The 22985-nt window shown below is 36.5% G+C and overlaps 1 pseudogene; it reads left to right on the forward strand.

The window, feature by feature from the left end:
* The first annotated feature begins 10512 nt into the window (after window positions 1-10512).
* LOC124900331 (uncharacterized) lies at window positions 10513-10633 on the forward strand (annotated as a pseudogene).
* Window positions 10634-22985: the final 12352 nt, after the last annotated feature.

Here is a 22985-nt window from a genome sequence, read left to right on the forward strand (position 1 = left end):
AACCCAAAAGCTTACCATCAGAGAGGACTTTATCATCGCTAAGGCCCCAGTGACACTTCATGATTCTTATTTTCCTCTTTTCCAAATGAGAGCTTTTATTCTGTTTATCCTGTTCCAGCTGCACCGTGATAGGTTGGATATGTTTGGGGGCAGATTGTTTGCTTTTAATTTTAGCAACTGCCAGACCACAAGAGTACACATAATCTAGAGACACTGCAGTGATCTCTGTGTGGGACTTTGGAACTGTCTATTTTGCAAAAGGCATGACTGGGTTCTGTGTGTCAGAAGAAGGGTATGGCAGAATATTGGGGTAGGCAAATAGCTAGATTGTGGGAGGGACTATGAGTTGTCCCACAAAATCGATTTTTCCCACTTGCTCAGAAATAGACCTTCAAATGTTATTTGGGCACAGGGTCTTCAAGAATAACAACTAAATTCTATAATTTTCTTTGAATCTAGGTGTGGCCTTGTGTCTGTGGATAAGTGTTGACCAACGGAATGTAAGTAAAGTGAAGAACAATCAAATAAATGTTCTCAAAGGGAGAGGGCTTCTTTTCCCTTGTCTGCTAACTCAAATATGGATCAGCTGACTGAAGCTGGAGCAGTTGCACTGGACCACTTATTGAGGGTAGCAGAGCAAAAAGGAAGACAGATCTCTGAGAATCATGGAGTTTTCACACCAGGAACCTACATGAAGGAGAAATAAACTATCATGTTTATAAGCCACTGTTATTTTGGGTTTTTCTATAAATTATAGCTGAAACTACCCCTATCTTTATAGAGTTATTTTCCAAAATTTCAAATATTACCCAAAAAATGCTTCAACAAAAAATGACATCTTTAAAGAAATGTATTTGTGTACATGTTATAAGCATTATTTTTTGGATAGATTCCTAGGAGTGAAAGTCTTGAGTAAATGATGTGTTATTTTTATTTTGAAAGATACTTTCTACTTGCCTTGTAAAAATGCTTTATCAAGTTTCACAAAAAGAGTATGAGAGGAATTGTTTTCCTGTATCCTCTATACAGATTTTTACTGATTTTTAAATTTATTATATTTGAATAGATAATCTTATGTACATATCTGTATTACGAGTAAGTCTAGGAATCCTTTTTTCACACATCTGTTTTGGCCAACTGTTTTCTTCTGTCTTTTGACAAACTTTCTATAAATTCTTTAGTTTTTCTGGCTGATATGTTTACATATTCTGGATATTAATTATTTTTAGTTGTATGTTTGGCAAGTTTTTTTTCCAGACTGCTGGTTATTGTGTAACTTACTTATGATGGCTTTAATTAAAGAAGTATTTATATTTCAGCATAAGTGCCAACATCTTCCTTCTGGATTTTGCTTCTTAGCTAGAAACCTCTAGAGGTCATAACATTATTTTTCTATATTTCTTCCAACATACTCTTTCAATTAAAAATTATTTCACTTTTTAATGCATCTGGAATATATTTATGCAAGATAGGAATTAGAGGTCTAATATTTAATTATTTTAAATGAATAACCAGTTTTCCCAGTGCCATATGTTTAATAATACTTCTACATTTCACTGATTTGAAATGCAAGTTTAATTATAGTCAAATTTTTGAATAGGCAAAGATGTGTTTCTTCGTTTCTGTGTTTTATTAATCATCTGTTTCTATGCCAATGCCATCCTTTGTGAACTCCTACAATTTTGTAACACATTTAGATATCTAGATGGCAAATCTTCTTTTCCAAAAGCATTTGGATATTCTCATTCATATACACTTCCAAATGAACTTTGAAACAAATTTTTATCTGCCCAGCTGAAGGAAGATTTTTAAAATATTGTAGCCATTCCATAATTTTTAGAAGTCAATAAGTGCTTTTAAAAATGTGGATGTTAACTATGATATTAATATTTGAATAAAAATATAGCTAGCCAATTGGAAAGTATTTTAGAATAAAGAAGTTATATAAATGCATATATTATTGATACGTTTATGCAACCAAATGCCTATATCACCTACAGGTTATCAATCTATGAAAATAATTCCTCAAAATTTTTTAGTTTATTATTCCAAAGAAAAGCAAATCATCTTTCCCCCACAACTTGGCTGGATCCATATTTAGACAAAGAATTAACACAACCTCAATTCTCTTTTCTTTTCTGTTATTTTCTCTTTTTTTGAGACAAGGTCTGTTGCTCTGTTGCCCAGGCTGGAATACAATGGTGCAATCATAGCTCACTACAGCCTCAGCCTCCTGGGCTCAAGTGATGCTCCTACCTGAGACTTTCGGGTAGCTGGAACTACAGGTGTGTGACAACAAGCCTGGCTAATTTTTTCAATTGTTTGTAGGGATGGGTGTCTCATTATGTTGCCCAGGCTGGTCTCAAACTCCTGGCTTCAAGTGATCCTCCCTCCTCAGCATGCCAAACTGCTGAGATTATAGGCATGAGCCACTGTGTCTGGCTCCCAATTCTCTTTTCTATATGTCCAGATGTTTTAGTGTATATTGACTGAGATTAGCAAATATCAATGTTCTCAGTTACCTTTAGATTGATGAGAAACTGGAAGAAACTGAAATTTCTGGGCTTTTTTCTAACTTTTTTCAGTGAATATATTGGCATTGTAAAACAATAAGCTACTGGTACTGTAATCTAATAGTTATTATGTGGACAGAAAACCTGTGACCTTAAATTCATGTTGTACTAATAAGAGAAGTGTGTAGAACTGTTAGTAAAATTTGTGAGAAAGGCAGACTCTGATTATTCTTTGGCTACCATTGCGTTTTTTATAGCTACATGACATCACTGTTTAGCCAGCTCCCATTTCATAGGTTCTGTCTTTCACATTACTTGGTTTTTATTTCCTCAAAGTTGAGCTACTAAGGCTCAGGATAGTTGAAATCAGAAATATATCTAAACTTTGCCACATGCTAGAGTAGAAAAAATTCACCTCTTATGACATTCAAGACTGAAAAGTTGAGCACAGACCAGCAATTCAACCAAATTCTTCCCTCCGGGTGATTCTTCCTTCGGATCCTTGGTGTGATCTCCGGCTCGCAGATCTTAGTTAGAAGGAAATCAATGCAACCATAACAGCATTCCCATGAGGATAGACCTCACTTAATCCAAAACAGCTCTAAGAGTTCAATGTTATTGTTACTCTTATTTTATAGATAAGAAGATAAAGCACAGAGAGATTGAGTAATTTGACCAACATCACACAGTGAGCAGATGGAAAGGAGGAATAGACAGCGTGACATAAAGATGGGAAGGGATAGGAAGACACAGTGTGCCTCGGGGTCTGCACTCCTAACCACCACTTTTGTATTGCTTCCCAAAGGGACCGGGGAAAGAGACTTTTGAAGAGTATTTCACATGGACATAGAACTGCACATCAGGCTGTATTTCTCTTTCTCTCTCTCTTTTTTTTTCTTTTTTTTTTTTTTTTGAGATGGAATCTCACTCTGTCGCCCAGTCTGGAGTGCAATAATGTGACCTCGGCACACTGCAACCTCCACCTCCCAGGTTCAAGTGATTCTCCTGCCTCAGCCTCCTGAGCAGCTGGGATTACAGGCACCCGCCACCACACCCAGCTAATTTTTTTTGTATTTTTAGTAGAGATGGGGTTTCACCACGTTGGCCAGGCTGGTCTCAAACTCCTGACCTCAGGTAATCCACCCACCTTGGCCTCCCAAAGTGCAGAGATTACAGGCATGAGCCACCGCACCTGGCCCCAAGCTGTATTTCTCTTTAGGAAGATGACCATCTCACTGACTCCATCCAGTAAGGGTACTATAGGAACTAACTATAATATTTCAGAAGTGACTGTTGTAAAGCATGTATTTGTGAAAATTATAATATCTTATAAATCTTAAAATTGTATGTAAGTATTTATACTAAGCCTTCTTCCTGGATGTCTACATTTTGAAAGAGCATTTACTCTTCGTTTGCCTTTGGGTTTGTCAGTGAGTGCTAATCTGAACCCATAAAGTTTGTCCAGTGGAAACAAATGCAACTGCTTCCTCTTTTGCCAATGAATCTGTGACTTGATATACATATAGCTTTAGGCCACGCCTAAAAAGCAGCAGTAGCAGATTATTTCAAAAAGATGCAGACAGGTTTATATGGGTACATAGGATAGCCATGTAGTTTCAATCACTTTACTTTTATGGCCTAAAATTTTAATATGATTGTATAAAAAACTATTATACAGAAATTCTTGCCAATAGATCCAACAAAAAGACTTGAGCAGTGAGTCCAGCTAAGTCACTGCTTTACTTCACTTTACTTAATTAGAAAACACGCAGACAGTTGGTTTGGGGTGAAGAGTTGTTTTCAGTTAGAAAAAAAAAACTCATTAGTATGCTCATCTCATGTAAATCCTCTAAAGACCAGATTGAGAACATGTTTTCTCTTATCAGGATCATGATATCCTTTTCCTAAACGAAGCATTTGTACCACAGTGAAAATTCCCCACTTTCCCTTATACCTATGGGAAAGAACTTCTAAATAATGCATTTGTTTTGGCTCAAAGACAACATCGTGGGTAATCTGAATCTCTCAGTTTCACAGTTCTCTGTGGATTAGCTCTGTTTCCTCAGCAAATTTTCCTTTATCACAATGGAAATTTGGGCAAAAATGTGTTTATATTTTCCACCACTAAAATAATCTTATCTGAAGGGCCCACTCTGTGGTATTCAGGGTACTTCACTTGTATTTTAGCACTAACAGTTTAGGCCAGAACATGAATCGGGCTATAATATTTGGGCTGTTTCAGAGCTCATTCTAGGGCAGTCTGTTCAAATCAAGACCACACTATGATTGGATCTTTTACAAAGTTCATAAAACGCTATCTTGGGGCAATATTTTAGTGTGGTTAAATACCAGCAACCATCTTCCTTACCCCAGCTAGTGATCTCCAAGGAGCTATGTGATCCATTTTTGTGGTCCAGTAGCAAAAACCACCACTGACAGAAATATTTCGTATTTTGCATGTACATGAGTTATGCCCTCTCTTCTCTCTTTCTCAAACGATTTTTCCTTTTTTTTTTCCCCCTGGTCTTTTACTTCACTCTATTTCTTTCTGCCAGAATCAACATCCAACATTCTTTTAATATTTAAGTGTTCAATAATAGATCCCTGAAAGGAAATAACATTCGATATGTTATTAAAACCCTTTTTAAATTCTGATGATCCACCACTAATTCAATATTCTATGTGCCAGGCTGTGAGCAAAAGTTTTTTTTTTTTTAAGTGCCTTAAAAAGAAAGTAAATGACATAGTAGGGACACCAGAGAAAAAGAAAAGTTAAAGAATATTTTAAACATTATATGCAAATGTGGAATTTTAGAGAATTCTAGAATTTATAGGAATGAAAAGAGCAAAAACAACTATTATTGCTTGAGCCCAGGAGGCAGAGGTTGCAGTAAGCTGAGATTACACCACTCAAAGCCAACCTGGGCAACAGAGCAAGACCCTGTATCAACCACACAAACAAAACAAAACAACAATGGCAACAACAGTAACTACAAAACCCCCAAAGCAATTATTAAATACCTTCTATGTGTCAGGTACAAAATTATATATTCCTTATAAACATGTATATGAGAAGCAGCTCATGTATCTTAAATAAAACAAATTTCAATAATGACAACTCATTTATAAACATAAGCTAATTAAAGAACTACTAATTTTATGGTACTTCATTAGTGATAATGAAATACCACTTCCAGTATTAGTAAAGCCTCTCCTGTCACCATAATAAAGATGTCATGGAATGTAACACTTTCGATTAAATGTTAAGCCTACCGTTCCTTGTGAACACCTGAGTGAGGCAACTGATGATCACAGTGTCTATGCCAAGGTATTTATAGTAAATTACAGACATACTAGACCACTCTGGGTTTTTCTTGCCATTTCATTGGTCACTGTTTCTTCATTAACTTTGTTGGTAGGTCTGGAGTCAACTGTAGATGTTAAGCTGCCTAGGGCTGAAGCCTAACAGCCTCTTTTCTCTTGAAATGACCTTATGTACCACTCATATGCTCATGAGCCTCAAAATGTCTATCTCTAGCCATTACTTCTCCCCTAAGCCCCTTGAGTCTCATATTTAACCACCTGGTTGACATCTCCACCTGGATAAATAATTAGCCGCTCCCAACTTCTCACAGATGAGACTAATTTCTTGATTCCCATACCCACAGGAAAAAAAAGAAAACCCATTCCATTCTGAGTCTTCTTTGTCTCAATAAATGGTACCACTTTTTATCTAGTTTCCCAACCCCAAAACTGGAGTGAGCCTTGGCTCTTTCCTTCCTCTTATCCCTCACATCTCATCCAGGAATTCTAGACTATTTTACTTCCCAAACACCTATCATGGTCCTGGCCCAAAGCAGCATCATTTCTTTCATGGATTACTGCAACAGCTTCCAAGTTGTTTTCCCTGCTTCCTGCATCCCAACTATCTATTATTCACATAGCAGCCAGCGGTCATTGTAAAATTCAAGTCATGTCATAGCGTTTTCTTCCTGAGAGCCTGTTAATGGCTTATCATTGCATGTTTATGAAAATTCGAATGCTTCCTATGTCTTCCATCGCCTGGATGCCTACTTCTCCATCCTCTTTGTGTACTACCTACTCCTTCACTCCCCCATTTGCTCATTACACTTCAACTTCTCCAGCCTCCTTTCTGTCCTTGGAATAGCCAGGTCCTTTACCAATTCATGAACCTGGTACTTGTGGTTACCACTGTGTGGTGAGTTCTTCACACAGCTCCCCATGTGGCAGATGCCTACTCACCCTTAGGTTTCATCTCAAATCCTCAGAAAGACTTTCTATGAAAATGAAGCTCAGTTTACCTTTCTCTACCCCTCTTTGCTCACCCCCATCACATCAGTCTATTGATTTCCTCCATAACACTCCCCAGAATCTGTAATTCTTTCTCCAGTCACTCATTTGCATGCTTTTTGTCATTCCCCAAGAGAATGCAAGAGGAAAGACCTCACCTGCCGTCATGACAATATTCCCAGTGGCGAACTTGATGCCTGATACATGTATGTAGATGCTCAGAAAGTATTTGCTAGATAAATAAATAAAACAGAGGAATTATGGAAAGTAAGAAGTGAATAATCAGAAATAATAGAACACAAAGGGGCTTTAGAGACTGTTTGATCAAACCCACTTACCTTCCCAATAAGACAAACCAGAGAGGTTATTTCTTAAAACTGAGAGAGTGAATGGCTGGAATGGGTTCCTGACATTGAGTGCAGTGCTTTCCACTAAATAAGTGGATCAAAAACTTGCTCCTCGGTCAGCTTTTCACTGGATTGTGCTGAAATGAAGAAAATAAGAGCAATATTACATGCAGTTATATACCTCCAACTATCCTTTTTCAGAAAGAACAAGGTTAGCTCACGTCCTTCCCCTTTTGTGTTTAATATCTTTTCTTTATAAAACAATACTGACAGCAGATAACATTTTTTTAAAATTATCTTTTGACAAAGTAAAAACTTTGAGATCTCTCTTGAGTTCTTTTGTTTTGTGTTTTTGATTATTTCATTTTGTTTTTCATTTTAAAGAGGCTGAATTTTAAAATTCTGATAACAAAGTATCCCTGAACAATCAAGTCATTGTAAGTGATTTATCTTACAGATCCCCCCTCACTCTCTTCCAATCCTACTCTACTCAGACAAGCAGTAAGAGCAGCCTGTTGTATCCTTCAATATGTAAATGTGGTCATTTCTTATGTAAATGTGGTCATGTGCGCACGCACGCACACACACACACACACACACACACACACACACAGAGTTTTGACTTCAATGTAATGCAAAAGGATCATGTCATACACATTACCCTACAATTTGCTTTTATTTTTACCTAATAAAGTAGGTAATATGCATTGTAGGTTATATGCATTGTAACTCTAGAACAGTGCATGTAGTTGTAACTCACTTTTAATTTTACATAATATTGCATAGTATGGATATACCAAAATATATTCAACCATTTTCCTGCTGATAAATTCTCTCAATTTTCCAGGTTTTTAAAATCCACTACAAACAATGCTCTCATGACATCTCTATATTTATGTCTATAGATTAAAAAGATCAAAATCTCTCTTCCATCTTTTTCTACATTTACATCTTTTCTTCGATATTAGGGTTTCTACCTCTTTAGGATACATTTTCAATAGTAGAATTGCTAGATTGGGGGAATCTATATATTTTTAAAATTTTAGTATATACTCATAATATTTAACCAGCATGGCCTGTCATTGTTCTGTATTCCCAAACATAGTTTTTGTTTTTTGAAACATCCTGCTATAGTAGTTTTGGCCTTGTCTGTCAACACATTTTAATCACCTCTGGAACACGACTACTAAGTATGTTAGCTGTCTCTCATTCTGCTATTTGCCACTCTGGAGACAGTTTAGTAGTCTGAAAATCCAAGAGACAAATGTATTTTCATATGAAATGAAAATTTGTATACAAGAAAATGCCCTCACTTTCTGCTCCTTATCTGGCTTCTACTACAGCATTTCCAACCACTTGCCCTACACCATACCCGTATCACTGATAGCTTTCTTTGTCTCGAGTCCATAAGGATATTCTTATACACTAGGACCAAGAATTCTGGTGATATTTAACAGGGTATGTCCCCATTCTTTCTCTGTAAAGAAGTTAAATATTTTCTGTTATTTTTTCTTTTAAAAAATTAATATAGTGTCTGATCATTAGTTACAATGTTCTTCTTTTAGGTAGTTCCCTGAAGATAGAGCAGAAACTTTCATTTTTTGGAAAATCTTATCTGCATTGGCCACCTCTTCCCATCTGACTACTCTGCTATCCAGGGTGTGAGAGTGTTCTATAATATCTTAATAAGCTCATTCTCTTGACCATCACTGTAATCCCCCAAATCACCCATGATTAAGTTCATACCCTGTAGAGAAATCCACCGAACAGTTGATGACCATTCTCTAAAAATGCAGTTGACTCCAACTCTGGAGTGTAGTGCTTTAATGCTGGTATATGTTGCAAAAGCATGCAAAATGGTGAAATCACCTGAAATAAAGTAGCTGTGAATTGCTATATCAATTTTACATTATGATTTTGCTTATTAAAAATATATATAAAACCAGCCAAAGTCCTCACCTGCCAGATTACTGTCAAGTCCAGTATCTTCACTCTCCATGGTCCAAGAAGGAACATGGAGGTTGGTAAGTCTGACCTCCATATTCTAGGAAGAGAAAATTGATACTGCCTTTGGTTCTAACTGCTTTATGATCTCAGAGGAAATGCCAATGTCCAGTGGATCTGGAGCCCTTCACAGCAGCATAGATTTTTCTCCCAAGCCAACCTTAGCATAGGGCCCTTAATGGCCCTTCAGGTTGGAGCTTTTAACTGGTAACTTTTTCAGGCCAATCCTTTAAAATGCCAGCTGGCCAGAGAGTGTCAGGATTAATTCAGGTGCCCATTTACAAACTGAGATCATTGTGCACTTTCCTGCACAAAGGTGTCTATCCTGGAAACATAAAGGAGTCATCACACACTTTTTTTTTGGAACACTGCTATAGGGTAACCTGGGATACCATATTGCAATACCAACCTACCTAGGATTGCAATTCTGATTGCCCCAGGGAGCCGTATAATTTCTTATGCCCTATGCATGTGCAGGCATGCACACACACACAAATCAAAGGTAGAAACAGCCACAAAAGGAATGATTTAAGGTAGCCTACTCTGCTAAAGACAGCAAGGTAACTTTCTGGTTATAGAAAGGAAAAAGAAAAAAAAAACCAATTTAAATCTCCAGTGAAGTACTTTGCAACAAAACAAATAAATTAAAAAATAAATGTGCTCTCTAAAATATTCAAAGTGTGTGAAGTCTAATCAAAACTCTGCTCTTGTGCTTTAGTACAGACTTCAGAAGAGAGTCAATGGTGTTTGTTTTCTTATAAATGAATTTGAAGTTTATTTGATTCTCTAAGTTAAATAACTTCCATAGCAAAGAAAGGTTTAAAATGTCTGTTTACTTATTTACTGTAGATAGTTAAGTGGTTTGCATCATAAATGCTAATTCAGGAAAAGTAGTCACTTATAGAGTACAATCTTAGGTTACATAAACAATCTGTGCTGCAAATGGTATTGGATGAATTAAGATATGAGTCTACTGGAAATATTTTGCATAAACAATGCATGTCAGGCAAAGAATCAAGAAGCTATACCATTAATCTGCTGCCCCAAATTCCTTAGTTGAAAATGTTCTTCAAATTTTTTTTCGTGTGTGCTAAATGTTTTGCTAACATAGAAATATTTCTTCTTTACTTTTCACAGAAGGTCCATGATTTTATCTAAAAACAAACAACCAACCAAAACTGTGCTTCACATTGTCTCATGAAGAAATTATACATTTTACGGTTTGAATTAGTCTGCATAATGATAAAAAAATACATTTACCTGCCTATATGATATCCTAGAAATTAAAGTTAATATATAAGTTAGGATATCTGTTTTTTAAAAAATGACAAAAATCCTGTCTCTGACCTGGTTAAAGTGGCATCTGGTTGGTGGCACTTATCTCAAATCGCAAAGACATAAGGCAACCTCTTGTTTATCCCAGCTTGGCTTTTTGTTTTTTGTTTTTTAGACAGGGTCTCACTCTGTCACCCAGGCTACAGTGCCTTAGTATGATCATCATAGCTCACTGCAGCCTCATACCCCCAGGTGCAAGCCATCCTCCCACCTCAATCTCCCAAGTAGCTGGGACTACAGGTATGTGCTACCACGCCTGGCTAATTATTTTGTATTTTTTGTAGAGACAAGGTTCTCCCTATGTTTCCTAGGCTAGTCTTGAACTCCTTGGCTCAAGCGATTCTCCCATCAGCCTCCCAAAATGCTGGATTATAAGCATGAGCCACTGCACCAGGCCCCAGCTTAGCTTTTGTCTGTTCCCATGCCAGGTTCATCCCTTGGACACATGGAAAAAATGACAAAAATCCAAAAGCTACATATTTCACTGATTTCGCAGATGGTTAGCTATTGGATAGCACAGATTTTCTTTTCATAAGAGACTGAGTGCTAAGTGGTTGGTAGGACTTAACATGAAAAAGGTTTTCATGTTTTCTATTCACTTACTATTAAAATACGTTGTCAAAAACTCCACAAAATCCTAGTTTCTGATGAGTAGAAGACAAATCCCACTAGGGAATAGAATAGAGTGAATGTCCTTTTATCAATAAAGAGCCAAAGACCATAGGCTATTTTAAAAACCAACACTATAAGAAATTTTAATGCTAACATTAAACTAAGAAGCTAATATGAAACATTTGAAAACATATACAGAAAAAAGGAGAAATGGTTACAGATTAAATAGCAGTGCTCAAATAAAAAATAGCATGTTGAGCATGACTAAAATAGCAAATTAAAGCTGGAATAATAAGTAGATTTAACTCTTTTTTCCCCCTGTGAAGCAAGTCAATAGTGATTGTGACTTCTTACGAGCAATTTGGAGGAAGAAAGGCAGTATTCTGCATTTGGGTGGTGGCCATTGCATTCAAGGAAGCAAGCAGTCACCGTGTACTTTCAAAGACAGAGAGTTATGAATGTCTATGGGATTCCTAAATTGGTCTCTACTGGAAGCAACAGAGACTCCTCCCCAATCATTCCTGACTGACAGATTTTGTTATCATACCTCAGAAAGGGTCATGGTGATGTTATGATCTCTTTTAATTAAGTTTAAAGCATCACTAAAAATAGCACATTTCAAACAAAAAGGGTGAGTCTTCTTATTCTTAAATTGACAAATTACCAGAGTTCTTTCAGGAATTCTACATACTGACTTAGATGGCTTATAAGTAACTCAATCTCAAATATTCCAGTGCTAAGCATATTTGCTCTTTCCTATTCTACTACTCCTGCCAATCCCACACAAGGTAAGAGAGCTGTGAATTGAGCATTTACTAAGTGCCAGACATGGTGCTAAGTTGTTCACATGTAATATCACTCTATTATTCTCACAACTATATGTGATGAGGACTATTAGTATCTTAAATTCACAGACATGGAAAATAAGGATTAAGATGGTAATAGCTTGCCTGGAATTACACTGTGGAGCAGATGTTTCCCATCTCAATTACATCATCATTATCCAATCAGTTGAGCAAGCCAGAAACCTAATTCTGTCTCTTTCTCCCCCACCTCCAGCCTTGAATCAGTCATTAAGCCTTGCCAAACTTTCCAATATTTCTGGACTCCATCATTTTCTTTTCATTCACTGTCACTGCCAAGCTCAAGTTTTACCATTTTTGTCCTAAGGAGAACAATAATCTTCTATTTGGTTTCCCTATTTCTTGTCTCTCAGACTCTAATCCTTGAACCACTCTGATATTTCCTTCTTTCTTTCCTTTCTTCTTTTCTTCTTTTCCTGCTTCTGTGAAGCCTTCCTGAATATTCTGCCTTATAATTCCGTCCCAAGTTTAATTAGCTGCTCATTTCTATACCAACAGAACCTAGATGTTTTATTATTATAAAACTCATGCCATTGAAGCACATATATCTGAGTGTTTCTACTACCAGACTGTTGCTCTATGACCAGACTGTTAATGTCTTATAGACAAGACCCCATCTCATTGACAACTTCTTTCACTCATCCATTGATTCACTAAACATTTATTAATCACTCACCTTATACCAGGAAATCAATTATTTTTTAATAATGATAATGATGATGATGATAATAGCTATGTTTTTGATAACATACTCAACAATCCTTTGAGGTGGGTATTGTTATCTTTATTTACCTTGAGGGAACTGAAGATAGGCAAAAATACCACTGTGAAGACACGTATCTTGGTTATATGTCTGGAACACTGTAAGGGCTCAATAAATGTCAGTTGAACTTAGTTGAAGTTAAAATTAGAGTGGAAAAGCCCTCAAAAGAATGTGTCTTTTCCAAGAGGCTAAGAAAGGTGAAGAAATATAGCAGTGATTGAAAAAGCTGGACTTAAATGTCAGGCACCTGTAAGATTTGCGGTTCTTGCTCGGTCAATTGTAAGCTACACGACCTGAAATAAATTGCTTACTTCTGTAAACCACAATTTAAAATATGTAAAATAGATATTATGAGTACTAACTTCAAAGCACTGCTATATAAATTAAATATGCAAATAAGTGTAAAATGCTTACTTAGCCATCTGCTACAAAATAAGCCCACAATAAATATCAACTATTATAATGACTGCACAATAACATAATATGATAGGGGCCAATAATAAGCTAGTCAGTATAAAATGATTAATTTCTTAAGTTAGAATTTTCACCATCATTATGTATTTTTATCCAGTATATTTGTTTTTGTTATTATTGCTGTTATTGTTATATTTGTAGGGAGAAGTATGAAGTACAGCATGAGAGTGGCCACTAAACACATACAGGAGTGTCAACTGATGAATTCCTCTAGGTTTCATTATAATGGTATTTGAAACTACAAAATGTGGATCTGAAGGAAAAATATCTACTAACTCCTGCCATCAAACATTATCATTTGCATGAAATAGGCCTATTTTAAATGTTTTATATTTTAATCCTTCTTTCATAGAATTGCTTTATCAGGAAGACTAAATGAGAATGGAAGTAATTACTGAGTTATGAAACTAGGTTAAATGTCATAGAAAACATTATTTATACCCCAAGTTAACCATCTCTATTGTGGTTGAAATAAAGAACAGAAATGTTTAAAAATAATCTAGGGACTGTCCTCTCAAGGGAGAGATAAGAATTTCAAGCATCTCTGAATATGAAGGAATTTTGGGGACGAAGAGAAGACTTTTAGCTAAAGGATCAATTAACAAGAACATACGCAAATTGGTCTGAGGAGCCTTTCTGCCTTCCATGTGGTTCCTATTGTGATATTAGAAACAAAATGGCCCATTGCCATCTGTGTGGTAGGTGGGTGGGCATGTGGCCCTTCCTCCTTTCTTCCCATCAGGTATACTCAACTCCTCACTAGTGGCCAGTTTCTCAATGAGTAAATAAGGCCTGCTTCTTGACACACATTCCACAGGCAAGCCAGATTTTAGGAAGAGATAAAATATACCAAAAAAAAAAAATCACAGAAGACCAAGAAGCCACAAGAGGTTCAGGATTGTGGTGAGTGTTAGTGGGAACTTTGCCGAAAATTCAGTGCAAGCTTACTCAATCTTCTCTTTCAATAAACATCCTTAGGATGGAAGCATTAGATGGTGGACCTCTCCAATAATTCCCAAACAAATATATTGAGCCATTTGTGGTTTATAGTCTAGGGCTTTATTTTGCTGTATCATCTGTGTATTTTTTTAATGTTGTATTTCTTTTGGTTAATCTTCCTTCCTCCTGGGAAACAAAACGTTCTGCAATAACAAACACTGTCTGTGGTAAGTCCCTAAAACTCCAGTGCAACAGATTGCAAAGCCTGCTGTCCATCTTAAATAGGCTTGCATTGTTTCTCTCTTAAGCTGGTCGTTTTCATGTCTCCAACTCTTACATATGTGTCATTTTTCTCTGGTCACCAATCACCAATTGCTCCTTGGAAAATATGCTTCACTATGCACAGCAAATGTTTTCTCCAAACAAAATTCACAACACTCATTGACTTGTAGAACTTTATTGACATCCCAATAATTTTAAAACTGAGGTTTTTTTTGTCACTGCTTTCCTTATGTCCAAGTCTCTAAAAAAGTCTTCTAAATATATTTTTAATTATGAAGTATTTTGAACTCAAAGAAAGCTGTAGAGAAAAACATAACTATTTGAACACTGCATATCATCTTGGATATACTAGTCAGACTTTATTAGAGGTACTTTTTACTTAGTAGAAATTCACTTATGAGAATGCAGAATGCAAGAAATTAATTAATTGATTTCCAGACTCACTAAAAAATCTAGATGCTCTTAAAGACAGTTCCACAGTACCTACAGGTGCAAGGCAAATTGTACAGTACAGTGACTGACTCTGAGAAGCACTAGGAAGTATACAGGACTCTGGCTATAGTGGCTTTTGTCCCAGTTTGCCTAGAGCCTGATCTGACATATGCCTGTTGTTCTGGCATAATTATCAACACTACACCTATCATTTTCAATGTAACCTAATTTTGATGATAAATCATATGGTTATCCTAAATGAAAAACTAGAGGGCACATGTTCTACCCAAAGAAAAAATAAAGCTTTACTTGGTTCTTGCCCATCATTGTTACATAGGAATGAAGACCTGTGCTTTTTCAAAAGAAGCCAGATCTAGATTTTAGGTAGAATCCTCCAGTATTTAGTGTTAGCTAAGATGTCTTATTTTTCTTTGTGGTTACTTTGTAAGTCAAAACTTATTTGAATGACAGATTTCCCCATGCATCACCAATGGTTTAAAACTTCTTTTGGTCTAGAACTTCTACATTTTGGGGGCTTCTGTACCACTATTTTCTTTTCCATTTCATCAGTTGGAGTGCCTGGCTCCACTTAGGATATTCACGTGTACATTGGAGTTCAGGCTAAATAGGCACTGTTTGAATGCTACTAAAGGAGGCACGCATCATCAGTTAGGAAAACTGGAAACAGAGTGGGTGATAAACTCAGGCTTAATTAACTGATTTGCTCACATCTGTATTTAAACCATTTTCCCTTTCCAAAAATAACATTCACTGAGCAACTGCTATGTGCCAGGTACTAGTCCACGTATTTAATCTACATTATCGTAATATTACTCATCACAACAATGAAATGGCATTGACATCATGATTCCACTTTTAAATGAAATTAAATGGAGGCTCAGAAAATCTATGTGATTAGACCAAGATCATATGGCTAATAAGTGATTGAACAGCCAGGATTAACACCTAAGTCTTTCTGGTTCCAAATCCTGTGCTCTCTCCACTGTACTCATATTCTTTGCTAGGCAAAAATTGACAACTTCAGCATTTAGATTTTTCTCTTATGCAAATAAGTTTGCTCCAAATTGTAGAGTCTCTATTGATGAAAATCTCTATTAGAGAAGTTAATAAATTTAAGGAATAAAACAACCAGTAAGTGGTGACAAATGAATACAGATGTCTATTTAGCAATGTCAAGGTAGATTGACAGTTCTAGAAAACATAGCCTTATTACTAAAAATAACAAATTGTTGTCTGCACAGTAGAATAACTATGTGATATTGGTAACTGTCTTTGGCCAGGTGCTTTACAAGCAGAGTATGAAATAGGGATTCTTATACAAGTATTTTCTGAGGAACAATCTTTTGAGGAGTTGCTCTTATGGGAAACCTATAAGGTTTGAAAACAGCAAGATAAGGTAGGGGAATAGCTAGGCAAAAATGAGCTTTTAGAAGTTTAGTCTCCTGATCTCGTATGGAGTTCTTGAGCTAGATTGTGTCACAGAGGCTGCCCTGCCTAGAGGCAAGAGGGCTACTATGGTTTGGCTCTGTGTCCCCACCCAAATCTCACCTTGAATTGTAATCCCCATAATTCCCACCTGTCAAGGGTGGGACCAGGTAAAGGTAATTGGACCATGTGGGCAGTTTCCTCATGCTGTTCTCATGATAATGAGTGAGTTCTCATGAGATCTGATGGTTTTATAAGCACCTGGCATTTCCCCTGCTTGCACTCACTTCGTTCTGCTGCCCTGTGAAGAAGGTGCTTGTTTCTCCTTCACCTTCCACCATGATTGCAAGTTTCTTGAGGCCTCCCCAGCCATGCAGAACTATAAGTCAACTAAACCTCTTTCCTTTATAAATCACCCAGTCTCCGGTATTTCTTCACAGCAGTGTGAGAACGAACTAACACAAGGGCTAAGCTATCACACCTCTGTATCATGAATCTGAGGCTACCTGCCTCCTGTGCATATCCTGAAAACCAAGGCGTGAAACCATGGCGGTCCTCCAGAGGATACAGGTGTGTGCCTTTAGCAGCTAATACCTACACAACCAGGTAAACGGAAACTGGAAGGGGGTAGACATAAGTGGAGAAGGGAGTATCTACTGACAGCGTCTGCTACAGCTATTACATGGTAGGGATTTGGATACATTGCTGTCTCTTTATAATATTTTCAATTCATGGTATTTTAAATTAAAGAGACTATTGTTTTCTTTACAAGCTTGTATTTTCTTCTTGAATAAGTGGTTTTCAAAGTTTGCTAAATTCTTATGATCTTTTGTTGTCTCCAGTGGCCAAATCTTCCCCTCCCTCCATCCATTTTAGCCCCAGGGGAATACATAACAGATAATCAATGTGCAAAATAAATTATCAGACTCTGATTCCTTTCTTTTAAATACATTTATTATCACATATTACAGTACAACAAAACAACTCAGCCGGTCCCTTGGAGATTGTAATATTTGGCTATGTCACATTACACAAGTGAAAAAAATTACTGTCAAGTATAGAGAAAATTATTCCTCATTTCCCTTAATAAGAAGGTATCCTTACAGGAGAAAAAGCTTTTTAAAAATAATACCATAGAAATCTTTATGTGCATATTGTTTCAGTGACAAATATTATATTAATAGTAATAATTACAGGACCTTTAATTAGTATTTTGTTGTATGTTTCACACATATTATCTTAAATGCATACTATATTATAATGACTATGAGCTTTTTAAATTCAGAAGTCTCATCTTATGTATATTTTTCTTCAATAAAAAGCAAAGAAGCCGATAGTTAATAAATGCTTGCTATATTTTGGCAAGACAAAATATTTGCTCCATAATATTTGATTTTTTCAGATTGTCACCAATCTCCCTGCTTACATAAAACCTTTGAATTGGAGGCCAGCATAACTGTTGGCGATTCAAAAGTGATTGTGGAGAGCCAGCCGTCTATATTTGGTCATACAGGTAAAGCTGACAGTTTTTACAAAGAGCACGAGGAGAGAGCCTCTCAGCAGGAAAATTGCTTGTTTCACAACCCACCAAGGGTGAAGAAATTTTTTCTCATGTTAGCCATTTGTGGGATGGAAAATTCTAATGTGGGACATTTTCTTGCTTAAGTAAACCATGCAGATTTTTCAGTTATTGTCAGATATACCCAGGATCTCAGAAATAGCCTATATTAAAATGTTTTCAAGCATAACCTTACAAATGAGGGCTAAAATCTAAAAGATTTTTTATCCAGCTTATAATAAACTAAGAACATATAAATTTGCCCTTATGAAAAGTTAGTTGAAGGTTTCTTATTCACCAAATGGGCCTTTCACTGTAAGTCAAAGGCAGCTTTCTATATTCTCGGTGTATTAGTCCGTTTTCACACTGCTATAAAGAACTACCCAAGACTGGACAATTTATAAAGAAAAGAGGTTTAGTCTGGGCATGGTGTCTCACAACTATAATTCCAGCACTTTGGGAAGCTGAAGCAGATGGATCACTTCAGGTCAGGAGTTCGAGACCAGCCTGACCATTATGGCAAAATCCTGTCTCTACTAAAAATACAAAAATTAACCAGGTGTACTGGCATTCCTGTAGTCCCAGCTACTCGAGAGGCTGAGGTGGGAGAATCACTTGAACCTGGGAGGCAGAGATTGCAGTGAGCTGAGATTGTACCACTGCACTCCAGCCTAGGTGACAGAGTCAGACCCTGTCTCAGAAAAAAAAAAAAAAAGGAAAAATAAAAGAAGAGACATTTAATTGACTAACAGTTCCGCATGGCTGGGGAGGCCTCAGGAAACTTACAATCATGACAGAAGGTAAAGGGGAAGCAAGGCACGTCTTACGTGGAAGCAGGGGAGACAGAGCGTGTGGGGAAGTGCCACACTTTTAAACCATCCTATCTCATAAGAACTCACTCACTATCACAAGAACAGCATGGGGAAATCTGCCCCCATGATCAAATCACCTCCCACTAGAGCCCTCCTCTGGCGTGTGGGGATTACAATTTGATATGAGATTTAGGTAGGGACACAGAACCAAACAATATCACTCAGTGTTAGATTTTGAAAGAGTTCCTGTGAAGTTTAGGAACGAAGAGAATGAAGATCCATATTATGATTCAAATGCACCCTAATCGTCTACCCACCCCTAATATCTAATCCTCATTCTAATATAATCAGCAGACCAGAAAGTGTCCAAAAAGCAGATAAGCATATATGTCCATTCTTTCTACAAGATGACTGTTTCTCATGTTTTTCTTTAGAATGTAGTGTGTGTGTGTGTGTGTGTGTGTGTGTGTGTGTGTGTGTGTGTGTGTGATCTTCATTCCTTTCACTGTGCTGAAACTCTGATTTGGGAAAAATTTTCTACTCCCTCGATCCCTGCCTCCTCAGAATCAATAGCATCTGCCTATCCACTATCAGTGCAGGAGATTATGTGGTGCTCTAGTTTCTATTGCCCACAATTATAAAAACAATAAGTATGATATTCCCTTTTTCAAATTTAAAAGTGTAATATTAAAGAAGCTTGCAAATTACATATGCTATCCCTTCAGAAATATTAAAAAGTTCATTCTCCTCTTGAGAAACACTGCTTTCAGTTTTCAAATGAGAAACATTATTAAATCTACTTAGTGTAAAAGTAAATGAATATGACCATTATTTCCTTGTCGAAGAAATCACAGAATTTGAGATGCAGGCAATATAAGACACATGCAAGTTTTCAGAAAATAAGCAGCCCCTTACCTGAGATTAATTGATGGTATTTCTGAGATTAGTAGCAAGGATGGTAAACACAATTCCGGATTTATCTACAAAAGGGTATCTAACCACAGCTTATCCCATCTCTACAGTAGAGATGAGATAGATGAGGGAATGAGGCTCAAGGATGAAGTAAGAATGTTCATTTAGTTTTATATTTCATAATAAAAATCTAGAAGTTTAATTTTTAAAAGGTGAATCCAAGTGTGCCCTTATAAAAATAATTGAGTACAAAATATCTTTGGTATCAAAAAGGCTTTGTAAAACTGGTGAGATTCAAACGGTCTTGTCAAGAGGCTATGCACCCTGGAATAAACAGGTATGGTTTGGAAACCAAACCGACATTTATATCTTATGAGCCTAAATAACCCGATGTGTGTGTGTGTGTGTGTGTGTGTGTGTGTGTGTGTGTATACAACAGAATAAATATTCTATGTTATTTGTTTTTTTGAAGACTAATGATAATGATAATATATAGAGGGCCTAGTACAATGTGTACCATGAAGTAAGAATTTCATAGTCTGTAACAATTATTTAACCCTAATTATAATTTTATCAATGACTCCTAGACTTTGTGTTATTATAACTATTATCACTTGTGTTGACAATGTCTGTAGACCCTCGAAGGGTGAAGAATGTATCTTGTTTGACCTTGTATCCCCTGTAACAAGTATGGCTTTTAAAACATTATAAGTACTAAATAAATATTTTTGAATGCATGTTGATAAATAATTGGTACATAAAATATTACTAGGCTAAAAATATACCAACTGGGAGAATTATTCAGATCACCCTAGGAAATGCTTCTTGTAGAATTCTCTTCCATTCCTGTGTAGCTTTTCAAATCTCTGAATCTAGCTTTTTCTTTTGGCCAGTGTTTTTCAGTTTGTCATATCCCAATTAATTCAGGCTGAATGACCCTATATGTCCTCACACAACTTAGAATACTGGACCATTTGAAACAGTCCAACACCTGCTCAACTCTAACACCTGTTCATAATATCTCTAAAGATTATGCTACATGTATCCTGGTTTCCATCCTGTTCAATCTTACTTGGTACTGGTTGAGCCAGCTAATATGTATATTATCTGATCCTCCAAAATTCTTTTCAGTGATGCCCTTTATTGTGATTTCTAAACTTTTCTTCTGGTTTTTGATATGTAATACCGAAATACCTTTCTCTATCCTTGACTGTGTCTTGTATCTTGTCTTTTCCTAACATTCCTGTATTTGTTATATGGACTCCTTCACAGGATTCCAGTGGATTCCTTGTTATTGACTCACCATTCTTTATGAAATGTCTCTGTTGAAAATGTGACTTTGTCTTTGGGAATTGTGCAATTGAGTCTTCCTCATAGGAGTGTCCTTCCTATACAAATAGTTTAATTGGAAATCAAACATCAAATTGATGGTGTGGTAAATTGCAGAGGAGGATGGCCACAGCCCTTTTTCCCGTAATTGTGGGCATGCTCCTTAGCAATGTCACTTTGCCATTCTCCCCATCAAGAAGTGAAGTCTAATGGAATCAACCCAAATGCTCATCAATGACAGACTGGATAAAGAAAATGTGGTACATATACACCATGGAATACTATGCAGCCATAAAAAGGAACAAGATCATGTCCTTTGCAGAGACATGGATGGAGCTGGAAGCCATTATCCTCAGCAAACTGACACAGGAACAGAAAACCAAACACCACATGTTCTCACTTATAAGTGGGAGCTGAACAATGAGAACACATGGACACAGGAAGAGGACAACACACACTGGGGCCTGTCAGGAGGCAGGAGGAGGGAGAGCATCAGGATAAATAGTTAGTTCATGTGGGGCTTAATACCTAGGTGATTTATGGGTTGATAGGTGCAGCAGGCCACCTGTGCACACATTTACCTATGTAACAAACCTGCACAGCCTGCACACATATCCCAGAACTTAAAATTAAATTAAATTAAAAATAAAAAGAAGTGAAGTCTAACAGTCCTTAACTTTCAGCTGCCCTTTAACTTAATTTGACCAGTAAAATGTGGTAGGAATAAGGATAGAGGACTTCTGAGCTTAGGTTCCAGGAGACTTTATAACTGCTGTTCTCGCCCTTTTGGAACTGTGCTGAAACTGCCAAGTGAGGAGGCCTAATCTAGCCCCTGGAGTATGAGAGACCTCATGGAGCAGAAAGCACCCTCTCCACTAAGGCCCAAAGATGAACCAGCTGACAGTCAACACTAACAGTCGGAAACATGAGTAAGGCCATCTTGTACCATCTAGTCCCAATGAGTGACTAGATGACTGCAGCTGCATAAATAACTCTAAAAACAGTAGAACTGCCTAAATGAATTCAGCTCATACTGCTAACCAACAGAATCATGACAAAATAAATTAATCCAGTAAATTTTGGCATGGTCGGTTATATATCAATAGATAATAACCAAAACAATAAATAATTGATAATACACATGGTTATCCAAAGAGAAACAACTATTTTTTTTGCTTTAATAAAATCTAGAAATGTGTTATTTCTTTTCAACCTATGTTGCTATTTAATTGCTGTGTATAATCCATAGCTAACATTTGTGGAATGTTTTAAAGTTCACAATGTACTTTAATATCTGTTCCTTTGATTCTGACATCCACTCTGTAGGAAGGAAGCAGAGCAGGTATTATAATCATTCTCATTACCTAGATGAGGAAATTGAACTCAGGATAGCACGAAACTACACAAAGGCATGTGGCTGCAGAGATCAAGGCCAGGATCACGACCCAATGCTCTTTACTTTGTTCTGTGATGTCTCACAGCCCCCTCTGCCTGGATACAATAATCTCATACCTAATATTGGCAAAATTGGATTAAATATAGGTTTGCCTTTACCAAAATCCTTGATTCTGAATTTTTAAAAAACCCAGTCTCTAACATTGCTAATGTTCACTTTTCACCATTACTTTTTAAAAAAATTCCATAATCACATGCATTTTAAGTAAAATTTAGCTTTGAAGTTTCTGAGTCATTTTCAATTAAAAGATTTTTAGCAATATTTCTTTGATGTTTGGTAATGACTTTGAACCCTTTTATAAGCCATTTGCACCTTTTATCTTTGAATCATCCAGTCACATCTTTCCAAGGGAACTCAAAATGATATTTCACACTTTTTATATTTGGTTCAAAATGCAATGTATTTTTAACCTGAGTATGTTGTTGCTTCTTTCACTGAAGGAATTGCTTTACTGTATCTTTTACAAACTTGTTTTCCCCTAAAAGAGGAAATTTACTTCATTTGAATTTTATTGCTACCTGAGGTTACTATAGTCAAAATGACCTTTGGGGGCTTATTTTAGATTCTAATAAAGTGGTAATTTATAAACTGTGAGAG

Source organism: Homo sapiens, chromosome 12 (assembly GCF_000001405.40).
Source record: "Homo sapiens chromosome 12, GRCh38.p14 Primary Assembly".
In the NCBI taxonomy this organism is placed as follows: Eukaryota; Metazoa; Chordata; class Mammalia; order Primates; family Hominidae; genus Homo; species Homo sapiens.